We start from the raw sequence: 21,652 nt of genomic DNA, 5'->3' as shown, positions 1-21,652 counted from the left end.
TCTCATTAGTAATCATATTGTTGGTGGTAATGTTGGTATTGCTATTCTAAGACAGTTATGCATATATTCTGGGACAGCAACTAAGTAATTATGTTGGTATTGTTGAGAACTTGGTACTGGGAGTTTTAGTGAGAGAGAAAGGGGAAATTTTGATTGTCTGTAAGATGGATGCAATTAAGAAAACCTTGTAGTCCTGAATAAGAATGGGAAATATTGGTATGAACTTGATGTATTCTCTCTCGCTCTCTTTCTTTCCCTCTCTCAGCCAATTTGTGCTGCTACAACAAAATATCTGAGAAATGTACAAGGAACAAAAATGTATTTCTGACAGTTCTGAAGGCTGGGAAGCCCAAGATCAAGGCACCAGCATTTAGTCTGGTGAGGACTTTCTCTCTGTGACTTTGCATGGCAGAATGCAGAAGGGCAAGGTCACCAAAGAAGGCATAAGGCTTCTTTCAAAAAGGCCTTAATCTCAATCATGAGGGAGCCGCCCTCATGGCCTAATCACCTCTCAAGGGAGCCACCTCTTAATACTATCACATTGGCAACACTTGAATTTTGAAGGGGACACTTTCAGACCACAGCTTGCTCTCGCTCTGTCTCATCTATCTATCTTAGTTTTAACCATCAAAAAGGCCTGGAACCAATTACCTGCTCAGCAGTACTGTTTCCCTAACACCTAGATTGTGGTCTTGAAATATTATTTCACACACACACACACACACACACACACACACACACACACACACACACAAACTAGGCTCATTTAGAGAAAAGGTTGGGTTCAGGCCTGGGACAGAAAATGTACAATGGGAGACTGGAACATCATGTCATACTTGGAAGCAAGGAAATTTCCAAGTGTTACTGAGTTTGTATCAAAAGGGCTCAGGAGACATTTTGAACAGCTTGTCTTGGCCAAAGAGGGAGTAATCTGATCATCAGAAGAATAATAACTGCAATGGATTGGGACAATGCAATATGTTTAGTCCATGAGTTCATAAGAATTCCCCCCCAAACTCATTGGCTCCCACTGAAGGATGCTAGGGAACTAACTCATTATTTTGACAACTGGTAAGTAAAGGAAAAGAATAAAACACGTATCCAGCCTTTATTATATGAAATAAACTTCTGGGTAAGCAAATAATTGATGAAAGGAAGTTTCTCTAAACAGGTGTATCCTAGCTAATAAATGAAGAAACGATAGAATGAGCATAGCACCATTTTGCAAACTCTATTAAATTAATGGAGTATTGTGCACGAGTGGCTGCTGACATCACAAAAAGAGGGACAAAACGTGCGTGCCTCCTGTGGGAAGGCGACACCCCCTATGAATGAGTCTTGTCACAAAAGTCAAACTTGATCCAATCGAGCCTTTAGTTCTAACTGCAGACTTACAGAAGACACAGAATACAGAAAAACATGTTGAACTCTACTAAAGGAATGCAACTGGCAAAGTACAAACTATAGGAAACTATATGACAAAGGATCTGGTTTCTTCAAGAAATAAATTGCAAATAAAAGAAGGAGATGGGGACCTGGGAGATAGAAGAGACCAGTGCTGACTGTAAGAGAATTCAAAGATTTATTAACGTTAATTATTTGGATTCCAGTTCTAACATCTGGAAAAAAAATTTATGAGATGATTGGAAAATCTGAATACAAACTGGATATTTGATGACAGTAAGAGACTATTGTTAATTGTTATTATGACAATGGTATTGTGGTTTTTTTTTTAAGAGTGACTTTAGTGGTATATATTGAAATATTTATGGGTGAAATGAATTTGTAAACCTGGGATTTGTTTCAAAATATTCTAGGAGGAGAAAATAGGTGGGGTCATGGATACCAACCTAGCAATGAGTTGATAATCGTTGCAACTGGGTGATGGATAGATGAGGGTCCACTATACCATTCTCTCTAGTTTTGTAAATATTTGGAATTTTTTGTGGTTAAGGTTGAAAAAGTGTGTCTGTGTGTGTATGTGTGTGTGCCTGCATTTATATAACTATATATAGAAAAGTTTTGGATGCCAATTTGCTTTACTTTTATAAATTATTTTACATTATAAAGTAATGCATATGTGATGTCATAAAATACAAAAATAAGTACATGAAATAAACATAACTGAACAAAAAAGAAAACAAGGAAAGTTCTTTTCCTAAGTCCTTCCTCTTCTCCCTCCCTCATCCCACTCTTAACAATTTGTTGTCCAATCGGACATATTTTTGTACCTTGCTAAATCTCTTTCTTTCTCCCCACCTCTCTGTGTCTATCATCTATTTATATATCTACCTACTTATGTATCCATCTACCCATCACTTTTTTTTTTTTTTTTACAAAAATGAGACTTTATATTTCCTAAGTCTCTTTTTTCTTCCAAGTGTGAAACTTAGAGAGCTTTCAGTATTACTAGGTAGGGCTGCGACTGTCTGTCTTCTGTGTAAAGCTGCACAGTACTCCACTGCATGGACTACACTGAAATGTTAACAATTGTTATTTGTGATGAGATTATGAGTAACTTAAGCTACTTTATTGGTGCCTATCTGTAGTTGGTCCACAATGACATGTATTTTTTGTAGAGTACTGTATTTAAAGGACCCCCTGCTATGGGAAGGAATTATGGATCTCCAGCACCCGGGTCTCAGAAGTTTGGGGTTTTCATAAATTGAGGCATTTCTGTATCTAAGTATAAATCCCTAATACAAGAGATCTCCTCAGAATGGGCTTTGGCCATAAAACCCAGATGGTGGCCCCAGCAGTGAGGGATCAGTGGCCTTCCAACTTGGGTCCCAATAAGGTTTATCATTAGAAGCTGCTCCTGAAGTCAGGGAGGTGCAAGGTTCAAGGAAATCTCTTGGCAGCAGCCAGGAGAGTATGAAAGCACACAAACACACACATACATGGACACACACACATACATACAGACATACACACCCAAAAAAACCATACAGACACACATGAACACACATGCACACACACACAGACACACACACAAACACACACACACACACACACACACACACACGAGACTGTCTTCCTAGACCTGCTGTAAAAGGGATGACTCAGCGTTATTTACAGGTTGCTTCTGGTCTAAACTCTGCATTGCTGAAGAAGAATTTGAAGAGTACCTGGATAGCACTGAGGCCATGGGCTGGCGTACCATGTTTGGGTCCTTGAACACATTCTGCAGAACATTCCAGGGCTTTCTGACAAAGGAGGAGAGGTGGTAGAGTAGGCTTAGATCCAAGTCTGGCTCAGGCACTTAGTACTGGGTACCACTGGGCAAATCACTTAGTCTCACAAAACTGAGATAATATTTACCTCACAGGGCTGTGGTATGAGTAAAATGGGATTATGAATGCACACCCTAGATCCTCCATAATCAGATTGATTAATAGATCACCCAGTAACAAAATTTTACCCTGCAGTGGGCCTATAACAAGCTTAGCTCAAAATTGATTTTGCATTTCTTACACATAGGGATTATTTTGTATTAAGACATTTCTCCCAATCACATCAGGTTAGAAGGGAATACAATGGAGGAGAATAACGTCAACCTAGCAGGGTTGGGTAGTGGGATCCTCTACGTAAAGGGATTAGCCCCTAGTACGTGCTCAGTAAGCTTAAGGTTCCTTCTGCAGCAGTATTGGTCAAGTTGGTCAAAGTCCAAACTGTGCAAGTTGTGGGTAGGACAGCATGTTCTTCTGTCACCCTCCCCTCACTGTAATTCCCAAAGCCTCCATTATGCGGGTGGTGGGGTGTGGGGTCTGCTCACTTTGCCTCTCTCTAGCTGCCCTCATCCCGCCCTCCTGATCCTCGTCCATTTCCTCAGGGGCCTGAGAAGACAGGTTAGGGAATCACATTAGTCTTGATAGGAATCAGGTGTTCATGGATGGTCCTCCCAGGTGACTTGCCTGCGGAGTCCAATGTGGGGATTGCAGGCAGGCTGATGGGAGAGAATTCTGGGAAAGGGTGCTGACACCAGCACACTGGAGGCCACACAAAGTCCAGTGGTGTCTCCTAGGTTTGTTTGCCTCTGTTAGACAGTAAGTGGGCAATTAGGAACGCTAAGGCATCATATTAAACAGCCTCCTGCTGCTCCCTCCTCTAGTGCCTTTAACCTCTGCTGACTTCATGCCCTTGAATCAGCTCTCACAGCCTGGTGGGATCCACTGGACTTGCAGACTTCATCTTCCTGGTCCTCTTCACATTCCGACTTGTGACCTCCTTCCTACTTAGAAACCCTCTTCCCTTGGCCTCTGGACTCTGCTGTTTTCTGGCTTTCCTTTGCTGCCCCAACTTGGACTTCTTGGAAGGTGCCTCTCTCCGTGCCCATTCCCCACATGCTGGGGTCCTCAGGGTTCATTCCGACCCTCTTCCCTTCTCTGGAGCGGGTGTGTGTGACATTCATTCTGTGCCCACAATCACTGATGACTTCCCAATCTACCTTGGCAGCCCCTGCCTCTCATTTCCAGATGGGCCACTAACTCAGGGGTCCTGGACACACCCAACTCCATATGTGCCACACAGAACACATCGTAGTGTGTCTGCCACTCGCTCCTTGCCTTGGAGGTTCACTACCCACTTGGCGGTCCAGGCTGTACTTTCACAGTGCCCTTGATTCCTCTCTCACTGCCTGCAAAGTCCTGTCAGCTCTACTTCCTGATGCTCTCACCTCCAGCCCCACCCAGGACCATCTGCCCTTGGCAAATGTCCACTCATTCTTCAAAAGTCAGCTCTGGCAGACACCTCTTCTGGAAAACTTGCCCTGCCTGCACCGGAGCCCCCACTATAGGACACTACGGGCGGCTTCCCCTCCTGTATGATAGAGAAATCTAGTCTGTTATTTTCTACAGCAGGCATTTAAATAGTTTCAAGTGAAAACCCCATAAAGTCAAAATCATCCTTGAAGATAACTTAAACAGCTCATCATTGGGACAGTGGCTATTTGTTTGGTTGAACACCCAGTGGGACAGTACTTTCCATTTAGGGTCTATAAGGTACAAAAAGACTAAAAACTATCCATATCTTTTTAACTCCAGAGATTCACACTGCAGCAGAGATGCTCGTATTGTGAGAGGCATGAGGAGACAGAAGACTACATTCCACTCAACCTGGGCTCAACTATGGCAGGGGTGTGGATGAAGGATGGGAGTGGTATTGTCTGCCTTAAATACTACCCTTCCTTTACCTTTTAAATGCTGAGCATGTAATTGAATTTGCCAAAGTTACATAGGTGAATGGCGGCCTCCTCTCTCTGGTAGCTTCTCTATCTTATCTCCCAGTTCTGAGCATCCAGAGGGCAGGGACATCATCTAACTCATTTCTGTAGCCCCAGAACCTAGTAGAGCATCCGTTCCTAGAAGAGACAGAGAGCGCTGACTGAACAGATAAGTCATAAAACTTTTCCTTGGACTTCTCCAGAGATGTGGAACTCCATAGAAAACGGAACAACCCATTCTGTCATCTGAACAAATAAAGTAGACCTACTGGTTCAAGGTCTCTATTAGCTTACCATGATTCTAACTGGAATTAATGACAGGAAGTAGAGTTCCCAAAGAAGAGCTGGTTGGCAGATAGTAATATTTCTTTGAAGCCTCTCTTGTGGTTGGACCCAACTCATTGATGGGCTTTGGATGGGTTTCAACAGCGGGTAGGCTTGCTCCTCTCTTCCCTAATCCAGGTCTAACAAGATGAGCCCCATTTAAAAAGGCAGGGCAGTTATCCTTTAAGTGAGCACAGTGACTCTTCACAGAAGGACTGATTTTAATAGCCCAGTGCAAGACCCCCTTTAAGGTACAGAATGATTCTGGCACATCAGTAAAGTGTTACACAAAACAGACGTTGAGTATTCAAAATCAAAGGCGTTTTTCATTCACGTGAAAAGGGATCAGTAAGCCGCATGAAAACTGGGGTGTGTAAAAGTCTCCAGGGCCTCTGTCCACAGCAGGAAAAGCTCAGAGCAGATTGGACACAGGGGGAGGCAACCTCAGCCGCCCGTAACTCAAGAGATAGAAGGCAGTGATCTTCCTGCACCGCCTGTTTCATGTGCGGGCTCCTGCTTCTGATCTTATGGCAGTTGCCTAATTGCCAATGACTGTTTCTGTGGACACGAGGGTCTGCTAAATGTGTAAGGCCTGCATTTTTCCAGGGGAGACTTTTTCCTTTGCACATAAGCCAAAGATTCCTTTATATACAAATTCCTTCTTATGTAGGTCATCGGATTCTTACGCGGGGAGCATTAATGCTGTGTTCAATGCACACAGCTGAATATGGACATTATATATAAAATCTGGTAATATGAGGCAGTGTGGATGCCGGATGGGAAGAACAACAATGTCATATGCATGTCTTCAATTTCTTTCACACATGAGACTGTACTCCCTAACTCAGTGCTAGGTAAATACTTTAAGCTGTTTTGTTTCTGAGAGTGGAGATGGCTTTACTTTCAGTCAACCACACCCTTTAACCCAGTCTCCATTGTAATCAAAAGTAAACATTTATAAATTTTTGAACAAAAATTTAAACTTACTACTCCAACAAAGATGAAACCCTACCCTTAGCATGAGAGGCTGCCCCACTTAGGTAACCAATCACATAGCTGGATTGAACTTAATCTAAAAAGAGGAAAAAATGCCACTATACAGGGATGGAAATTAAGTTTCATAAGAAAGCCATTTCCAAGTAATCATGATGATAGCTGGTACTTATTGAGCATTTGTTATGTGCTCAATTGATTGATTCAATTAACCTATGAGTAGGTACTATTATTATTATGGGAGACAGGGTCTTGCTCTATTGCCCAGGCTAGAGTGCAGTGGCATGATCATAGCTCACTGCAGCCTCAAAGTCCTGGACTCAAGTGATCCTCCCACCCTCAGCCTCTTGAGGAGCTGGTACAACAAGCATATACCACCATGCCTGGCTAATTAAAAAACAAAAAATGTGTGGCCGGGCACGGTGGCTCACGCCTGTAATCCCAGCACTTTGGGAGGCCGAGGCGGGCCAATCACGAGGTCAGGAGATCGAGACCATCCAGGCTAACATGGTGAAACCCTGTTTCTACTAAAAATACAAAAAATTAGCTGGGCGTGGTGGCAGGCGCCTGTAGTCCCAGCTACTCGGGAGGCTGAGGCAGGAGAATGGCATGAACCCAGGAGGCAGAGCTTGCAGTGAGCCGAGATCGTGCCACTGCACTCCAGCCTGGGTGACAGAGCAAGACTCTGTCTCAAAAAAAAAAAAAAAAAATTTGTAGATGAAGGGTCTTGCTATGTTGCTCAGGCTGATCTTGAACTCCTGGGTCCAAGTGATCCTCTTACCTTGGCCTCCCAAAGTGCTGGGATTACAGGCATGAGCCACCATACTGGGCCAGTAGGTACGATTACCTCATTTTTACAGACAGGAAACTGAGGCAAAATAATCTGCCAGAGATCATAGAAGTCAGTAGGTTGTGGAGGTAGGATTTGAAGGCAGTCGATTTGATCGCAGAGTTCTTGCTCTCGACCACAGCATGCTCCTGACTCGCAGCTGATGGGTTGTGGCTGTCAGAGCTTGGTGTTCAAGAGTCTGAGATCAAATTCAGGTTTAGCACAATAGACTGGCATGAGCTAGATTAGGGAGCCACCGAGAATGGGAGCACATATATGTGTATTTGCCATCTCTGACTTTATTTAAATGAAAAAGTCCTATGACATCTGTACTATCAGAACTGTGCCTGTCTCATAATCTCTATAAATATTTACTCCTGGATTTTTGTAACATCTGACACTGAATAAGGTAATTAGAATAACTCTCCCTGCAGGCAGAGCAGGTAGTAAATCACAAACAGCCTCCTGTTTCATTGTCTGGACCGATGTTTCCATATTTCAGGTCCTGACAGATTATAGACATCCTTGGGACATGCAAGACCCAGAGTAACGATGAAGGAAACCTACCCGTAACTCACAAAGAGAGTTGTCGATGCTGAGATTTCTGTGCTGGGGACCCAGCCCTATTGCTGTCATATTAAAATGCAAGCAGGACTTTAGCTTGTGTGGAAGAGGGCCCTCCCTAGGACTTTCAAGCCCATTTGCTCCCACAGGGCCATTCAAGGCAGAATTTTCAGCGTTGGGGTGAACTGGGAGCTGAACAGTCCCTGCCACATGGCAGGCGGGCAGATGCAAGGCTGAGGGGTGATTGAGTAAATGATGAAAATCAGCATATGTCCTTGACAAAAACCAAAAATAGGCTAGATCTAGGACAAAATCAAGCTGGGGGCAAATGTGAATGACAACGGAGATTATGATTGATCTTATTTTTATGACTATAACATTACCAACAGATCTATAAAAGTACAGTGTACAACAGGAATGAAACTTATTTAACTTAATGACCAACAAATGATTGACAGCAGCTTGATCTGATGCCATGACAACTGATACATGAAGAAAAAACAAGGGTTTGCATTCATGTTCACATTTGTTAATACAGTCCCTCAATTATCCAGAAGCAGATTGGCTATCAGTTTCCTGAGGACAAAGCTGCAAAAGATTTGCTGAGACTGTTCTCAATTGCTCTGGAATTTAAAACACTTTCATACACATTGTCTAGTTCAGTGGTTCTAAACTGGGGGTGATTTTTCCCGGCAGGGAATGTTGGGCGATGTCTGGAGACATTTTTAATTGTCATGATTAGGGTACATTACTGGCATCTAGTGGGTGGCAGCCAGGCATGTTGCTGAACATCCCACAATGCACAGGACAGCCCCACAACAGAGAATTAGCCAGCCCCAAATGTGAGTAGTGCCAAGCTTGAGAAACTGGCCTAGTTTGAAGTTTACACATACAAAGAAAGAAAAGCGAATCTCTATCAAGTGTGTAGCATGGGGTAGGCCCTGTTCTAAGTGCCTCACTTGAATTAACTCATTTATTAATCACAGCAAACCTATGGGGTAAGTACTATTCTTACTCCTGTGTAAGCCCGCATAGGTCATTAGGTGGGGAGGTATTATATACCCACTGAACAGATTAGAAAGTTGAGACTCAGCTTATTAGTGGAAGCACCTTGGCTCCTTCTTTGTTGATAATACCACTGCCAACTCATTTTTAGGACAGCAGCCCTAAGGCTGGTCATACTCTAAAGCAAGCTTGTCCAACCGGCAGCCCATGGGCCACATGTAGCCCAACACAAATTCATAAACTTTCTCAAAACGTTATGAGATTTTTTTTTTTTTTTGAGATGGAGTCTTGCTTTGTCACCCAGGCTGGAGTGCAGTGGCCCAATATCAGCTCACTACAACCTCCACCTCCTGGGTTCAAGAGATTCTCCTGCCTCAGCCTCCTGAGTAGCTAGGATTACAGGCACGTGCCGCCATGCCCGGCTAAGTTTTGTATTTTTAGTAGAGATGGGGTTTCGCCATGTTGGTCAGGCTGGTCTTGAACTCCCAACCTTGTGATCCGCCCGCCTTGGCCTCCCAAAGTGCTGGGATTACAGGCGTGAGCCACTGCGCCGAGCTGTGATTTTTTTTTTTTAAAGCTCATCAGATATCCTTAGTTTATTTTATATGTGGCCCAAGACAATTCTTTCAATGTGGCTCAGGGAAGCCAAAGGTTGGACACCCCTGCAAAGAGAGCTGAAAAATCCCAGCACCAAACCACCCCTGCAGGTGCCAAGGAAGCTGTGCAGCACCCAGAGCGTCTCTGCTGACTTCAGGGCTTTGCTGTGGGAGAGGCGATGCTGTCCCATCCCTTCAAGGACTTGGACAGCAGACTGACATGACCAGTTGAGATAGGAAGAGAAACCGTGGCCTTCCAAGCACTCACTTAGGCCCCCTTTGAAGTGGGATATCTTTATGGGAGTAGCAGGGAGTGGAGAGGAAGCTAGAGGGAGAAAGCGGAAACCTCCAGACCCAGATTGCTGAGCCTCTCCAGCAGATTTTCTGAGCAGGTTTGGGGAGGGGCCTGAGAATGTGCATTTCTATCAAGTTTCCAGGTGATGCTGATGTTGCTGGTTCAGCGACCAAACTTTGAATACTAGTGGCCTAGAGGCATCCCAGTTGAGTGTGGCTAACCACCCCCCCCACTCCAAAGATCTGTCATTACTTAGCCAGAAAAGACATTATTATTCCACTTTCTTCAAATACAGTGTTCCTAGGAGTCACTATTTGAAGTACAGCAAACTCACCAAACCACCATGCAAGCTATATTAAAAATGTGCCTGCAAACTTCATCCCAGCATCCAATACAAAAGATGTTGAATTCATCATGTTTTAATTGATTCACATCACACCTTGCCTCCATTAATGTGGATGACTGGGAGTTAGCCAGACTTAAAATTTATTATGCATGGAACGAGAGCTATTACCTGACCTTGAAAAATACTTTGAGCATGGTGTGAGATGTTAGACTTGTGAGTAAAAATGTGAGTGTCTGGTTGTGCTGAGATTTTCTGCCGTGACATCCTGATCAAGACTGATTTGCTGAAGCAAATCTCTTCACTGCTTCTGAAGCCTCTTTCTAAAACTCAAACTGGTAGCTTGGCATTAGTAATCTATATACTTCTAGATTGCTACTACTTTTTCCCCCCATTTAAAACTGCCTTTTTAAAGCTTGGCATTAATTTCCCACTAATCTTGGCCCTGTGGGCTGAAGTAGTAAAAATCAACTTTTGGTCAACAAATGAAATAAACTGTTTTCAAGACACATATGGAGTAAATATGGATGGTAAAGAGGTGCTACTTTTACAGTCACTTTTCTGATCATCCGTTTCACAATGGAATTATTTACAGGTCTCTCCGAAACTGGCTCCTCTATTACTCAGACGGCGGAGAACGGATGGGCCCAGCCACCAGCCCTAATGTGCTCACCCTCATGTGGTTCATTACTGCAAATAAAGGTGTTAGCCAAAATGCTCTGAAGCAGCTGAAAACTATCCCATTATGTAGCACCCAATCAAGGACTTCTGTGTTTTTTTCAATCCTTTACTTGACTCTCACCACATGGAAGCATTTTGAGAACGTTCTGTGGGTTTCATGAAACCATTCTGGGACTCCCGCGCCGACGACAGGCCTCACTTTGATGTCAGTGCTAAAATGGTTGTTCCAGGGAAGTGTGCTCACTAAGTCCACCACCTTCCTTCCGCCCATCATTGTTAAACAGGGCAGCTTTCACAAATCGCTTTTGCAAAATCCTATGGGTTCTGCACTTGGTCCTAGTTTCCAAACTCTCTTCGAAAGGAAACTCAGGGTTTGCCTTTCCTAACCCTTGCCTGATGAAGTTGTACAGTTGTACACTGCCAGTCCTGGCAGTGCTGTTAATAAGGTGTATGATATGATTACTGGTTATCATCAATGAAGGCAATAACAAACATTTGTGAACACCTCTTTTGTGCCAGGCACTGTGGTAAGCCCTTTAGATGCGTTATCTCATTTAATCTTAAAAATAGCCCCAGGTGTTGGTACTATTATATTCCCTATTTTGAAGATGGGAAAACTAAAAGAACACAATATGTTATATTTGGAGTGACATATCTATTATGTGAAGAGACTGAAACACAGGTTTAGAGCTTGTATTCTTAAACTCTTAAGTCACCTGGTAAAGATTAAAAAAACTTATTAAACAATGATGTACATTCAGAAAGGTAAAAAGTCCTCAGTGAATATGGCTTAATGCATTTTCATAAAATGAACACACCCATGTAATCAGCACTCAGGTCAAAAAAATATTACCAGCATCCTAGAAGCCCCACTCTTGCACCTCTTAGCCATTAGCCACCCCACTCTGCACAGGGAAATCTTATGACTGTTCATATTATATCTTAATTTTGCCTATTTTTGAGCTTTAAAGGAATTGATATGTTTCTTTTGGGATTAACTTTATTTATTTACTTTTTTTTGAGACGGAGTCTCACTCTGTCGCCCAGGCTGGAGTGCAGTGGCGCAATCTCAGCTCACTGCAACTTTCGCCTCCCAGGTTCAAGCAATTCTCTTGCCTCAGCCTCCCGAGTAGCTGGGACTACAGGTGCCCACCACCATTCCTGGCTAATGTTTGTATTTTTAGTAGAGACAGGGTTTCACCATGTTCGTCAGGCTGGTCTTGAACTCCTGACGTCAGGTGATCCACCCACCTCTGGCCTCCCAAAGTGCTGGGATTACAGGCATGAGCCACCACACCCCATCTGGGCTTAAATTGTTTTGCCCTATATTATATTTGTGAGATTACCTATGATATTATAGGTAGCAGCAGCTCATTTTTCATTGCTGTATAGTATTCCATTGTATCACTGTATTCATCCATTCTCACACTGCTATAAAGATACTACTCAAGACTGGGTAATTTACAAAGGAAAGAGGTTTAATTGACTCACAGTTCTGCATGCCTGTGGAGTCCTCAGGAAACTTAAAATCATGGTAGAAGGGGAAGAAGACGAGTCTTAACACGGAGCAGGCAAGAGAGAGAGTGGGAGAGCAAAGAAAAAAATTACCATTTATAAAACCATCAGATCTCGTGAGAATTCACTCACTATCACGAGAACAGCATTGGGGAAACCGCCCCCATAATCCAATCACTTCCTTCCCTCAACACGTGGGGGTTACACATCCCTCCCTTGACACGTGCGGATTCCAATTCGAGATGAGATTTGGGTGGGGCATAACAGCCAAGCCATATCAATGACCATCCCACAATTTATTCTGTTGTTAATAGGCAGGGATTATTTACAACCTGGGCTACTATAAATAATGCTGCTAGAAACATTTTTGTACACACATACTGATAACACACTCATATTTCTGCTGGCCCACACCTAGGAATGGAATTGCTGAGTATGTTTAGCTTTAATAGATACTGCCAAGTTCCATCCGTGCTGTTATGAATTGGCAAATGTCTTCAGGGGTATGATGGACTGAACTGTGTGTCCCCAAATTCACATGTTGCAGCCCTAGCCCGCAGCATGATCCCATTTGGAGATAGGGCCCTTAAGAGAATAATTAAGGTTGAATGAAGACATATGAGTGGGACCCTGATCCAACAGGACTGGCATCCTAAAAAGTGACACCTGAGCTCACTCACATGCTCCCTTATTGTGTGCCAAGGAAAGGCCACGTGAGGCTGCAGTGAGAAGGTGGCCACAAGCAGCCAGGAAGAGAGGCCCACTAGACCTAACCCTGTGCACATCTTTTGTCTTGGACTTTTGAGCCTCTTGAAATGTGAGAAAATACATCTCTGTCGTTTAAATCCACCCAGTCAGTGATTTCACATTTTATTAGCTGGAGCTGGCAAATCCAGAAGAGTTGTGAAGAAGCTGAGCTCACTTCAATGTACTTCCTTTCTATATGGGATCTTGACCTCTCTGATCCTGGCATCTGGGCAATTTTGTGCCCACAGTCTTGTCTCCCCAGCCCTTTGATTCTGTCAAAGCTCATGTCAGGGTCACAGCCTCTTCAATGGCTTTGGTGTGGCTTTTCAGCCTCATCCTGTGCCACTTCCAGCCTCGCAAAAGACTGGAGGGAAAAAAGTGCTTTGAGGGTGGTCTGTAAAAGGTTACTCTATCATTACTGGAAAAGAAAATCTAATTATTTATAAACAACTCTTTAAATAAAGTTTAAATAAACTCTTTAAATAAAAAATAACTATTAAAGTTATTTGTAAGTTAATTGTTTTTAACTTACAAATAAATAAAACCGTAGTGGGACTAGCTTACCAAATCTGGCTGCTTTTTTTTTTTTTTTTTCCCTAGAGATGGGGTCTTGCTGTGTTGCCCAGGATGGTCTCAAACTCGTAGGCTGAAATGACCTTCTCGCCTCAGCCTCCTGAGTAGCTGGAACTACAAGTGCCTGCTACCATGCCTGGTGTCTGGCTGCTTTTCATTAAAGTATTTCTCAGAGTCAAATAGCTATTCAAATGTGGCAGTTGCTAATTTTTGAGATATCAATCTGATAGAATTTTTTCCTTTAAGGATGTCTCGACTTGAAAACCCATACTTTCTAGATCTTGTAAACTTAGAATTTCCTAGACACTTAGAAAGGTGACTCCCTCAGAAAGATTAGACTGGCTTGGAATGGTTTCCTGAGAAGGATGTTCATTTATAAAAGATACAACCATTCAAGGGCATCTGAATTTTTTTAAAAACTATCACTTTTGGTGACTGAAAAATATATAATCACAGATAAAACCAGAACAAAGCCCTGCATGTGAGAATGCCTGGTCCCAAGGCCCTTGCTGTCCCCCTTGTTAGCAGTGAGGCTCTGGGGAGTCACTTAGCTACTCAGGGCGTCAGTTTCTTCATGTATAAAGGGCATACTCACACTTGTGAAGTGTTTCCAAATCTTCAGAGCACTGTTGGCTGCTTTGCCCTGGGCACTCCCTCAGCACTGCCGAGGTTAATCCTCAGCACTGACTGCAGGGCAGTGCTCCATGACCAGCACATATATCTTGGCCTCCTCCACTGGACTATGTCCTCGGTCAGGCAGAGGCCCTGTCCTGTTCTTTTATCCTTAGTCCAGTGCCTTGTACGTGGCAGGTACTGAATGATGAACGATGAAGTCCTCCTGCCAGCACCCAGCACACTGCCTTTAACTCTTCCAGCCTGACCCTCTGAGTGTTCACTGAAATGGTGTGTCCCACACTGCAGGGCAAATGGATTTGGGAAGTGGATTTGCTACACGATGTGAGATAATCAGGATCACCCTAGAAAACTCCTTAAAAAGCCCACAAAGTACAGTATGATTGTACATTTAATCCAGTACGGCAATCCTTATGTACCATCAGTTTTGAGAACTATAAGCTAGGTTAAAAAAAGGAATTGGCATAGCAAAGATCTGAACATTCAAACTCCTTTTTGAAATACCTGTTGAAATACATATTGAGGCCAGGCGCAGTGGCTTACACTTGAGATCCCCGCACTTTGGGAGGCCGAGGCGGGCGGATCACTTGAGCTCAGGAGTTCAAGACCAGCCTGGGCAACATCGAAACTCCATCTCTACCAAAAATACAAAAATTAGCTGGGTGTGGTGGCATGCGCCTGTAGTCCCAACAACTCAGGAGGCTGAGGTGGGAGGATAGCCTGAGCCCGGGAGATTGAGGCTGCGGTGAGCCGTGATCTTGCCACTGCACTCCAGCCTTGGTGACAGAGTGAGAGACCCTGTCTCAAAAGAAAAAAAAAAGAAAAAAGAATACCTATTGAGTCCCTGCCATGAGGGCTGAGGAAGGCCTGCTCACCTGCAGTGTCTTTCATTCTGCTTTCACTGATACCGCTATGACTGTTATACCCACGTGTGTTAGAAATTTTTTATTGTGAAGAAAAAGAAGAAGTGAGGTTGAGTTCTCAAGTCAATGACTAGCCTCGGTCCCTGGAACATCCCTCTTTTGAAACCCAGTACACATTAGCTTGGGATCTTTAAGGGCTTTGAAAAAGTCCTGTGGAATGTTTAACTTGGTTACCCCGTTTCTCAACCTTAGTTTGACATAGGAGCTTGATTCTTGTTGGTATATAATACCTATTAATATTCTGTTGAACATCTTCAGTGTGACATGCTGGGAATGAAGGCTTAGGCCATTACTCAAAGTGTTTCTGACTCTGATTTTACAAACAATCCTTAACACAAATGTTTATCTGGCTTTGGGGCAGCAGTTGAGAACAAATTAGAAATGAGTAAGGAAGTCTGTCAGATTAAAAATGAAATGGACAGCTAGCATCCTGGCAGGCATGGAAGGGACAGAGCATGACAAAGCAGCCACGGGGTTAGATTCAGATATTTAACGAATAGTATTGCATGGTACAATCATGCAGGTTTAAAATAATAGCAATTGAGTCCATAGGAGAAGACGACATTCTTGCTTGACAAGGTAGGAACAAATTCATTATATTTCACCAAGACTAAAATTACAAAGTTTGGGTGTGTAAAGGCAAGATTTAATTGTTGGGAAAATTTATCCGAGCCAGCCACCACGACAAAAGCCAGGCTGACCAAATCAAATGGATTCTTTACATCCTCCAAGTTTCAGAAGAATCTTGAATATGGTTAGCCAGAAGATATGGTAAATTTGACCCCAAACATTTGCTTGAAGGAGTAAGGTCTTCTAATGAGTGAATGTCAAGAGATCAGCACATAAGTAATAGCTTATTTATCCTTTAGGTCACATCCATCTGTGAATCAAGCAGCCTTGCAGTCCACATGGTCAGCATCTCTCCCATGGCTCGAGGCTCAATGATCAAGGTTGTTTAGCCAGTCTTAGAGTATATAAAAAGCCTCTCCATTTTTTTTTGGTTGTTTTAGAGAGAGAATACGCAAGGGAATTCTTCACAGGAGGAGACGTAGTCCTAAATCCCTTCTGCTTTCCGTTGCATTGGATGTATCACTTGTTCTCTTTAATAATCATTTTTTCCATCCTCATTCATTGTACTTGGACAGTTTTAACCTGGGGATGATGTTCATAGACTGTAGTTCCTGGAAGAGCAGCTTGCAGGCATACGGAATACGGAGGGAAGACACGTGGCAGGATGACTTGCAGTAATGGCACCTGAAACGCAAGTCAGCAAGCGTTAGACAGACAGCAACTCGGAAACAAAGGCCTCCACGTAGGAAGTGAGAATGGTCTCTATAAAGTTCTATTATCATTCTATCAAATTATCTTTCTATTCCTAAGTGTTCAGTTGCACTATCATATAAGTACGTATGTGCCCAGAAAAAAAGAAACATCCAAGGAAGCAAAAGAAAAGAGGAAACAAACACCATTCCCTCCAGTGTTTAAAGCATGCAAGTTGAGTCAGTTGTTACCACACATCCAGCCCTTTCTCCTTAAAATGTAAAACATTTGCCAATATACTGTTTTGAAAGAGCTCCAGAAATCTGAACCATTGGGAAATTTACTCAGATTTAAATTTTTTTCATTGTTTAAAGAGTTTTAAACCAATTCAATCAATCTCCATGTATTTGATAAGCATCAACTATACTAGCAGTATATTATTCTAGGCAAGGCGCTCAACAATTATAACTTGATTTCTGTCACTGAGATACGTAAAGTCTGATGGAAAAGACAAGACTTTTGAATAGGACAGTGGTATTCAATCAAATGGTAACTTGTCTAGTGCTCTTCAGGCTTGGTGATTTCTATGAGTGTTGGAGGTACTATACTTACAACATGTTGTCCCTTGTGCAAAACTAAGAAATGTGTGTATGTGTGCATGTGCACATATGTTCCCACTTAACCCTAGCAACAACAGTCCATGTTCCTAACCACTTTGCCTCATATTCCAATTAGGACTTTAATTTCTCTTCTTTCCGGAAGAGCTGGTAAACTGAACTTAGTTCTTAATCAATGGCTACAACTGTAGAAGGGTCCCTGGGGAGAAAGTGAATTATTCTTTCAGGTTTCAGACCAAAATACAACCTTACCCTACACCTCAAGGGTCTGCAGCAGCTAGGACAGTAGGTATCCAGTACAAATCCTGACTCTTAACAGGTAGAAAACTAGGTCCTCACAGTTAACGAGGAGGAAAATGAGTCCAAGAAGAATAGCAACTGAGGCTTGGAAGATCGGGTGCTGACCAGGAATTGAAGGGGGATTCCTTAGTGAACAAAGGATTGGCCATTCTGGAGGGCAGTAAGACAGTGTGTGTAAAAACTGTAAATGTGCATATTCTTTGATTTTGTAATCCCAAAAGTGGCAAAGGTATGTGCACAAGAATGCTGACAGCCACACTATTTATAACAGCATAAGGTGAGAATATGCAAATGTCCACTGGGACATTTAGATAGAAGAAGACTGTGAAGCCATTAGACCTGCTGTTGTGGACACACATTTATTGAAATGGAAGGTGTATAGGACAAACTGTGAGGTGAAAAAAGCAGTTTGTTGATCAGCATGGTCCCAAGGGGGCCCTCAAACAAGTTTTGTAAGTGTATGGAGCCCCCAAAATCATACGTAAAATTTTAAGTTTTTTGTGTGTATATTTGTATTTTTCTGCCCTTATCAGAATCTTGAAAGAGTCACCAAAATGTTAATAGTGGTCATCTCTGGGTGGTGGGAATTAATGTGACTCACTTTATATTTGTGGTAACTTTTGAATGTTTTACAATGAGCAGGGATCATTTTTGCAATCAGTAAAATAAAGCTTGTATTATTTTAGAAAAGAAAAGCAAGAACTGAGGCTGAGAATGTGCACGTGGTGGTGGTAACTATGCAGACAGAGTTTCCTGAGGAGGAGAATGGGAGAAGACTAACCCTCACAAATGCACAGTTGATGTTATGATGAGGGGACGCAGGGTGCTTAACCTGTATTTGATCCGTTAACAGTACAAATACAAACTTGGTGAGTTACTTTTTCTTAAAAGATTATCTAAAGACCTATTTAATGCATTCGAGTTCAAAAATTACGTTTTTAATGTGCTTGGGTTGATGTAATTTATCTAGGAATCATGTTCATGCTTTCATTAAATTGGGGAAATGCATTTAACGGGGGTACCTTTCGCTTCTTCTCCTGACTAGTACATTACCCAATGACTCCGATCCAAGCTAATCTATTTTAAATTTCCATATGTACTGATTCATATTCCAGAAAGCCCTTTAATCTTCTCTATTATTAAATACTTCTCCATCATTTAAAATGTTCCAACGTGCATGTGTGTGTATAAAACCTTACCTTACCTTGTATCTGAACAATTTGCAAAGGTAGAAACTTGACGTGAACAACAATAAAATGAACGGCTTTTTTAGGGCAAAGGTAGCAAAAAGGGGAGGCTGTGGCTTCACACGAGAAATGACTGTCCAGTGAAACATCCTCTATGAGCTAATTACCTTAATAGGGATTTTCTTCTTCCTGAAGTCTTCCTTTTGGACCTCTCTTTTGTGACTTATGCCCTTAGTGTCTTCTGTAGAACAACAGTCGTGCTGTAAACATCCCCATAGCAATGCCTCACTAATGTGCAAATCCCTGACAAAAGGCCAGTTTCAAGGTTCCGAACTGCTCTAATTACCTAGCCTTCATTGTGTGGCTCATTAAAGAGCGACTTCCTCCAACGACGCCCATGCTCCCTCCCACTCAACCCAGCACACATGATCAGGTAATGATGGGAAAAATGACAGCATCATTACGCTCCTCGGCCAGAAAGCAGCACCCGAGGCAGCGGCTAGACTACTAGAATGGATTAGGATTTTTTTCTGTTGGCAACAAGGGTATAAGTAGGCCACTCAAAATCAGACATACAGTATATATTGAGGTCTGTTTAATTACAGTAAAGACCCTCAAACTGTATAACCTGATTTAGTCCTCTTTCAAAGGATTTCAAATACAATACACACGGAATACATACGCTTCAAAATCAGACACTGCCATCAGATGCTCTCTAAATGAGACAGAAATGAAGCAGGAAAGAAGATATACATTTAGCAGAATAATGCTGAAGGATCAATCGCTGCTTACAGGTCTTCTTGCTTACATTACCTTCCCTGGGTAACCAGTGGCGGAGAGGGGAAGGTTTTCAAAGCACATAAGTGAATCGGGTTGACTGTTTTCTTTTTTCTCCGGGGGTGGGGAGAGGGAGGAAGAATGCAAGGGGGAGGAAGAGAAAAGGAAACTCTTTTTGAAGTTCCATGACCTCTATTTTTAATGACGTGATTCTTCTGTACCATCCTTTCGAAGTAAATTATTTAAAAATCCTTGTGTCAAATTTGAAGATTTAAGCATAGTGGAACTAGGATCCAGGCATCTTCCTATTACATGATTTCTTTTCTTTTTTTTCTTTTTGGTTGCACAGCCCAGACTATAAAAAGCAAGCTCAATATGCATTTCAAAAGACAAATAGACATCTCAGGACTGAAGCAAACCCCCATCTCATTCATATAAGAAAGAGCTAGGCTTATCCTTGGAATCATGTCACCTCTGCAACCTTATGAAAGATGAACCGCAAATGGCCACCTCTTCTGTTAGTTTTTAAAGTGAAATGATCTCCTTACAGACGAGAGTCTTCACCAAAATCATGAAATAACTGGCCAGAAAGTTTTGACATTTATCTGGCAAGGGATACACTGCGTTTTAAGGAGCCCACTTGTTCAACTTGTGATTGGCTTTTTTCAACTTAGAAATTAGTAGCTCAGGATGGCAAGAAGTTGAGGCTCTGTCTGGAAGGAAACTACGATGGGGACTCAATGGGGAAAAGGTGGCCCACAAATTCCTCAAACCCCAGCAATGAATGCTATTTGGGCCTAACTCTATCTTGGGGATGGCCCCTATCTAGAGAAAAGGCACTCTGGGGAGGGCAGGTGAGGGGCAATGAGGGGGTGAGGCTGGAAGCTCTGTAGCTTGTGTCTTAGATCTTGTTGGACCTTGCCTCTGCTTGAAAAGTAAGTAAAGAACTCACTTTTGGCTGGGCATGGTAGCTCATGCCTATAAATCCCAGCACTTTGGGAGGGATCACTTGAGCCCAGGAGTTTGAGACAAGCCTGGGCAATATGGTGAAACCCTGTCTCTACAAAACATACAAAAGTTAGTCAGGCGTGGTGGTGTGAGCCTGAAGTCCCAGCTACTCAGGGGACTGAGGTGAGAGGATCGCTTGAGCCTGGGAGGTTGAGGCTGCAGTGAGCCGAGATCACACCACCGCACTGCAGCCTGGGTGACAGAGTGAGACTCTGTCTTGAAACAAACAAAAACCAAAAACAAAATAAAAAACCCCTTGCTTTTGGGGAACTATGGATTCTCTTGCCTACAGGAGTGTTTTAGGAATAACCCTAAGTGAGCTTTTTCTTCTCTGGTGAGAGTGGAATCATTACAAATAGGAAAGGTGGTGCAACTGCACAAAAACAAAAAACATCCAGCATCATCTTTTAAGGTGACCTTTGTGTACCAAATGCTACACAGAAATTATAAACTTTACAAATGACATGATTTACTTATTGGCAATCCTACAAATGCAGGGTATCATTCAACCAGTATTTTTTTATGAAGCATCTACCAGGTCCCAGGCTGGAGAAATGAGGGTAAACATGACAGGATGCAATCAGAATGAACTAGAAGATAAGCTCCTTGGGAGCAGCCATCCACTGTCTTGTTCACTGCTGCATTTCTAGGGCCTAGAACAGTGTCTGACACTTAGCAGATACTTACTACATGTTTGCTGAATAAATTACTGAGACAGACCCGGTTTCTGCCCTCACAGAATCTACAGTACAAGTGTGAAGCAGCTAGCCATGGCAGAGAGAGTACAGACAAGGGGGCAGGGTACCAGGTCGTCTTGGTCTTGGCTCTTGGCTCTGTCACCAATTTGCTATAAGACCTGGGGCAGCATCCCTGGCTCTTTGGGTCTGAAGTTACAAATGAAAGCATTCGATGTAATCTTCCCTAAAGAGTTTCTTTAACACACTGCGATTCTAACACCCGACAATGCATCTGTAGGATTTTCACAGGCAAATAGTGTTATAAAAAGTACCTGAGAGAATATTTAAAAGGAGGTAAAGTTTGTACTCCTTGGGAGCTTAGCCTCTAGTTGTGTAGGAAGTAGATCATGATGTAGACAAATGAGACATGTACACAGAGTATCCCCAATGACAGGAATACATGCATGAGGGAGGGTATGTTAGTGATCACAGACAGAGGCTGGAGAATATGCGGATAGGATCCAGGGTCAATTCTTGAGCTGTGATTTAAGAGGCAAGGGGTGTGGTATGGGAGACATATGGTA

General features: G+C 42.8%; 1 protein-coding gene and 1 long non-coding RNA gene across 3 annotated transcripts in view; one reads left to right on the top strand and one right to left on the bottom strand.

Moving 5' to 3' along the window:
• The window catches only part of LOC100287944 (uncharacterized), a 278,422-nt gene that overhangs the window by 248,916 nt on the left and 7,854 nt on the right, over nucleotides 1-21,652 (top strand). Inside the window, exon 2 of the long non-coding RNA NR_040246.1 lies at nucleotides 18,106-18,288. This is a non-coding gene — a long non-coding RNA (uncharacterized LOC100287944). The remainder of the gene's footprint in view (nucleotides 1-18,105; nucleotides 18,289-21,652) is intronic.
• Nucleotides 15,718-21,652, bottom strand: part of POLR3B (RNA polymerase III subunit B) — a 152,451-nt gene continuing 146,516 nt past the window's right edge. For both annotated transcript variants that reach the window (NM_018082.6, NM_001160708.2), the window contains exon 28: nucleotides 15,718-16,496. In NM_018082.6, coding sequence (NP_060552.4) covers nucleotides 16,367-16,496 — 130 coding nt within the window. In that variant the 3' untranslated portion in view covers nucleotides 15,718-16,366. The remainder of the gene's footprint in view (nucleotides 16,497-21,652) is intronic.

This window comes from Homo sapiens, chromosome 12 (genome assembly GCF_000001405.40).
Source record: "Homo sapiens chromosome 12, GRCh38.p14 Primary Assembly".
In the NCBI taxonomy this organism is placed as follows: Eukaryota; Metazoa; Chordata; class Mammalia; order Primates; family Hominidae; genus Homo; species Homo sapiens.
This window is presented reverse-complemented; position numbering and strand designations above follow the sequence as displayed.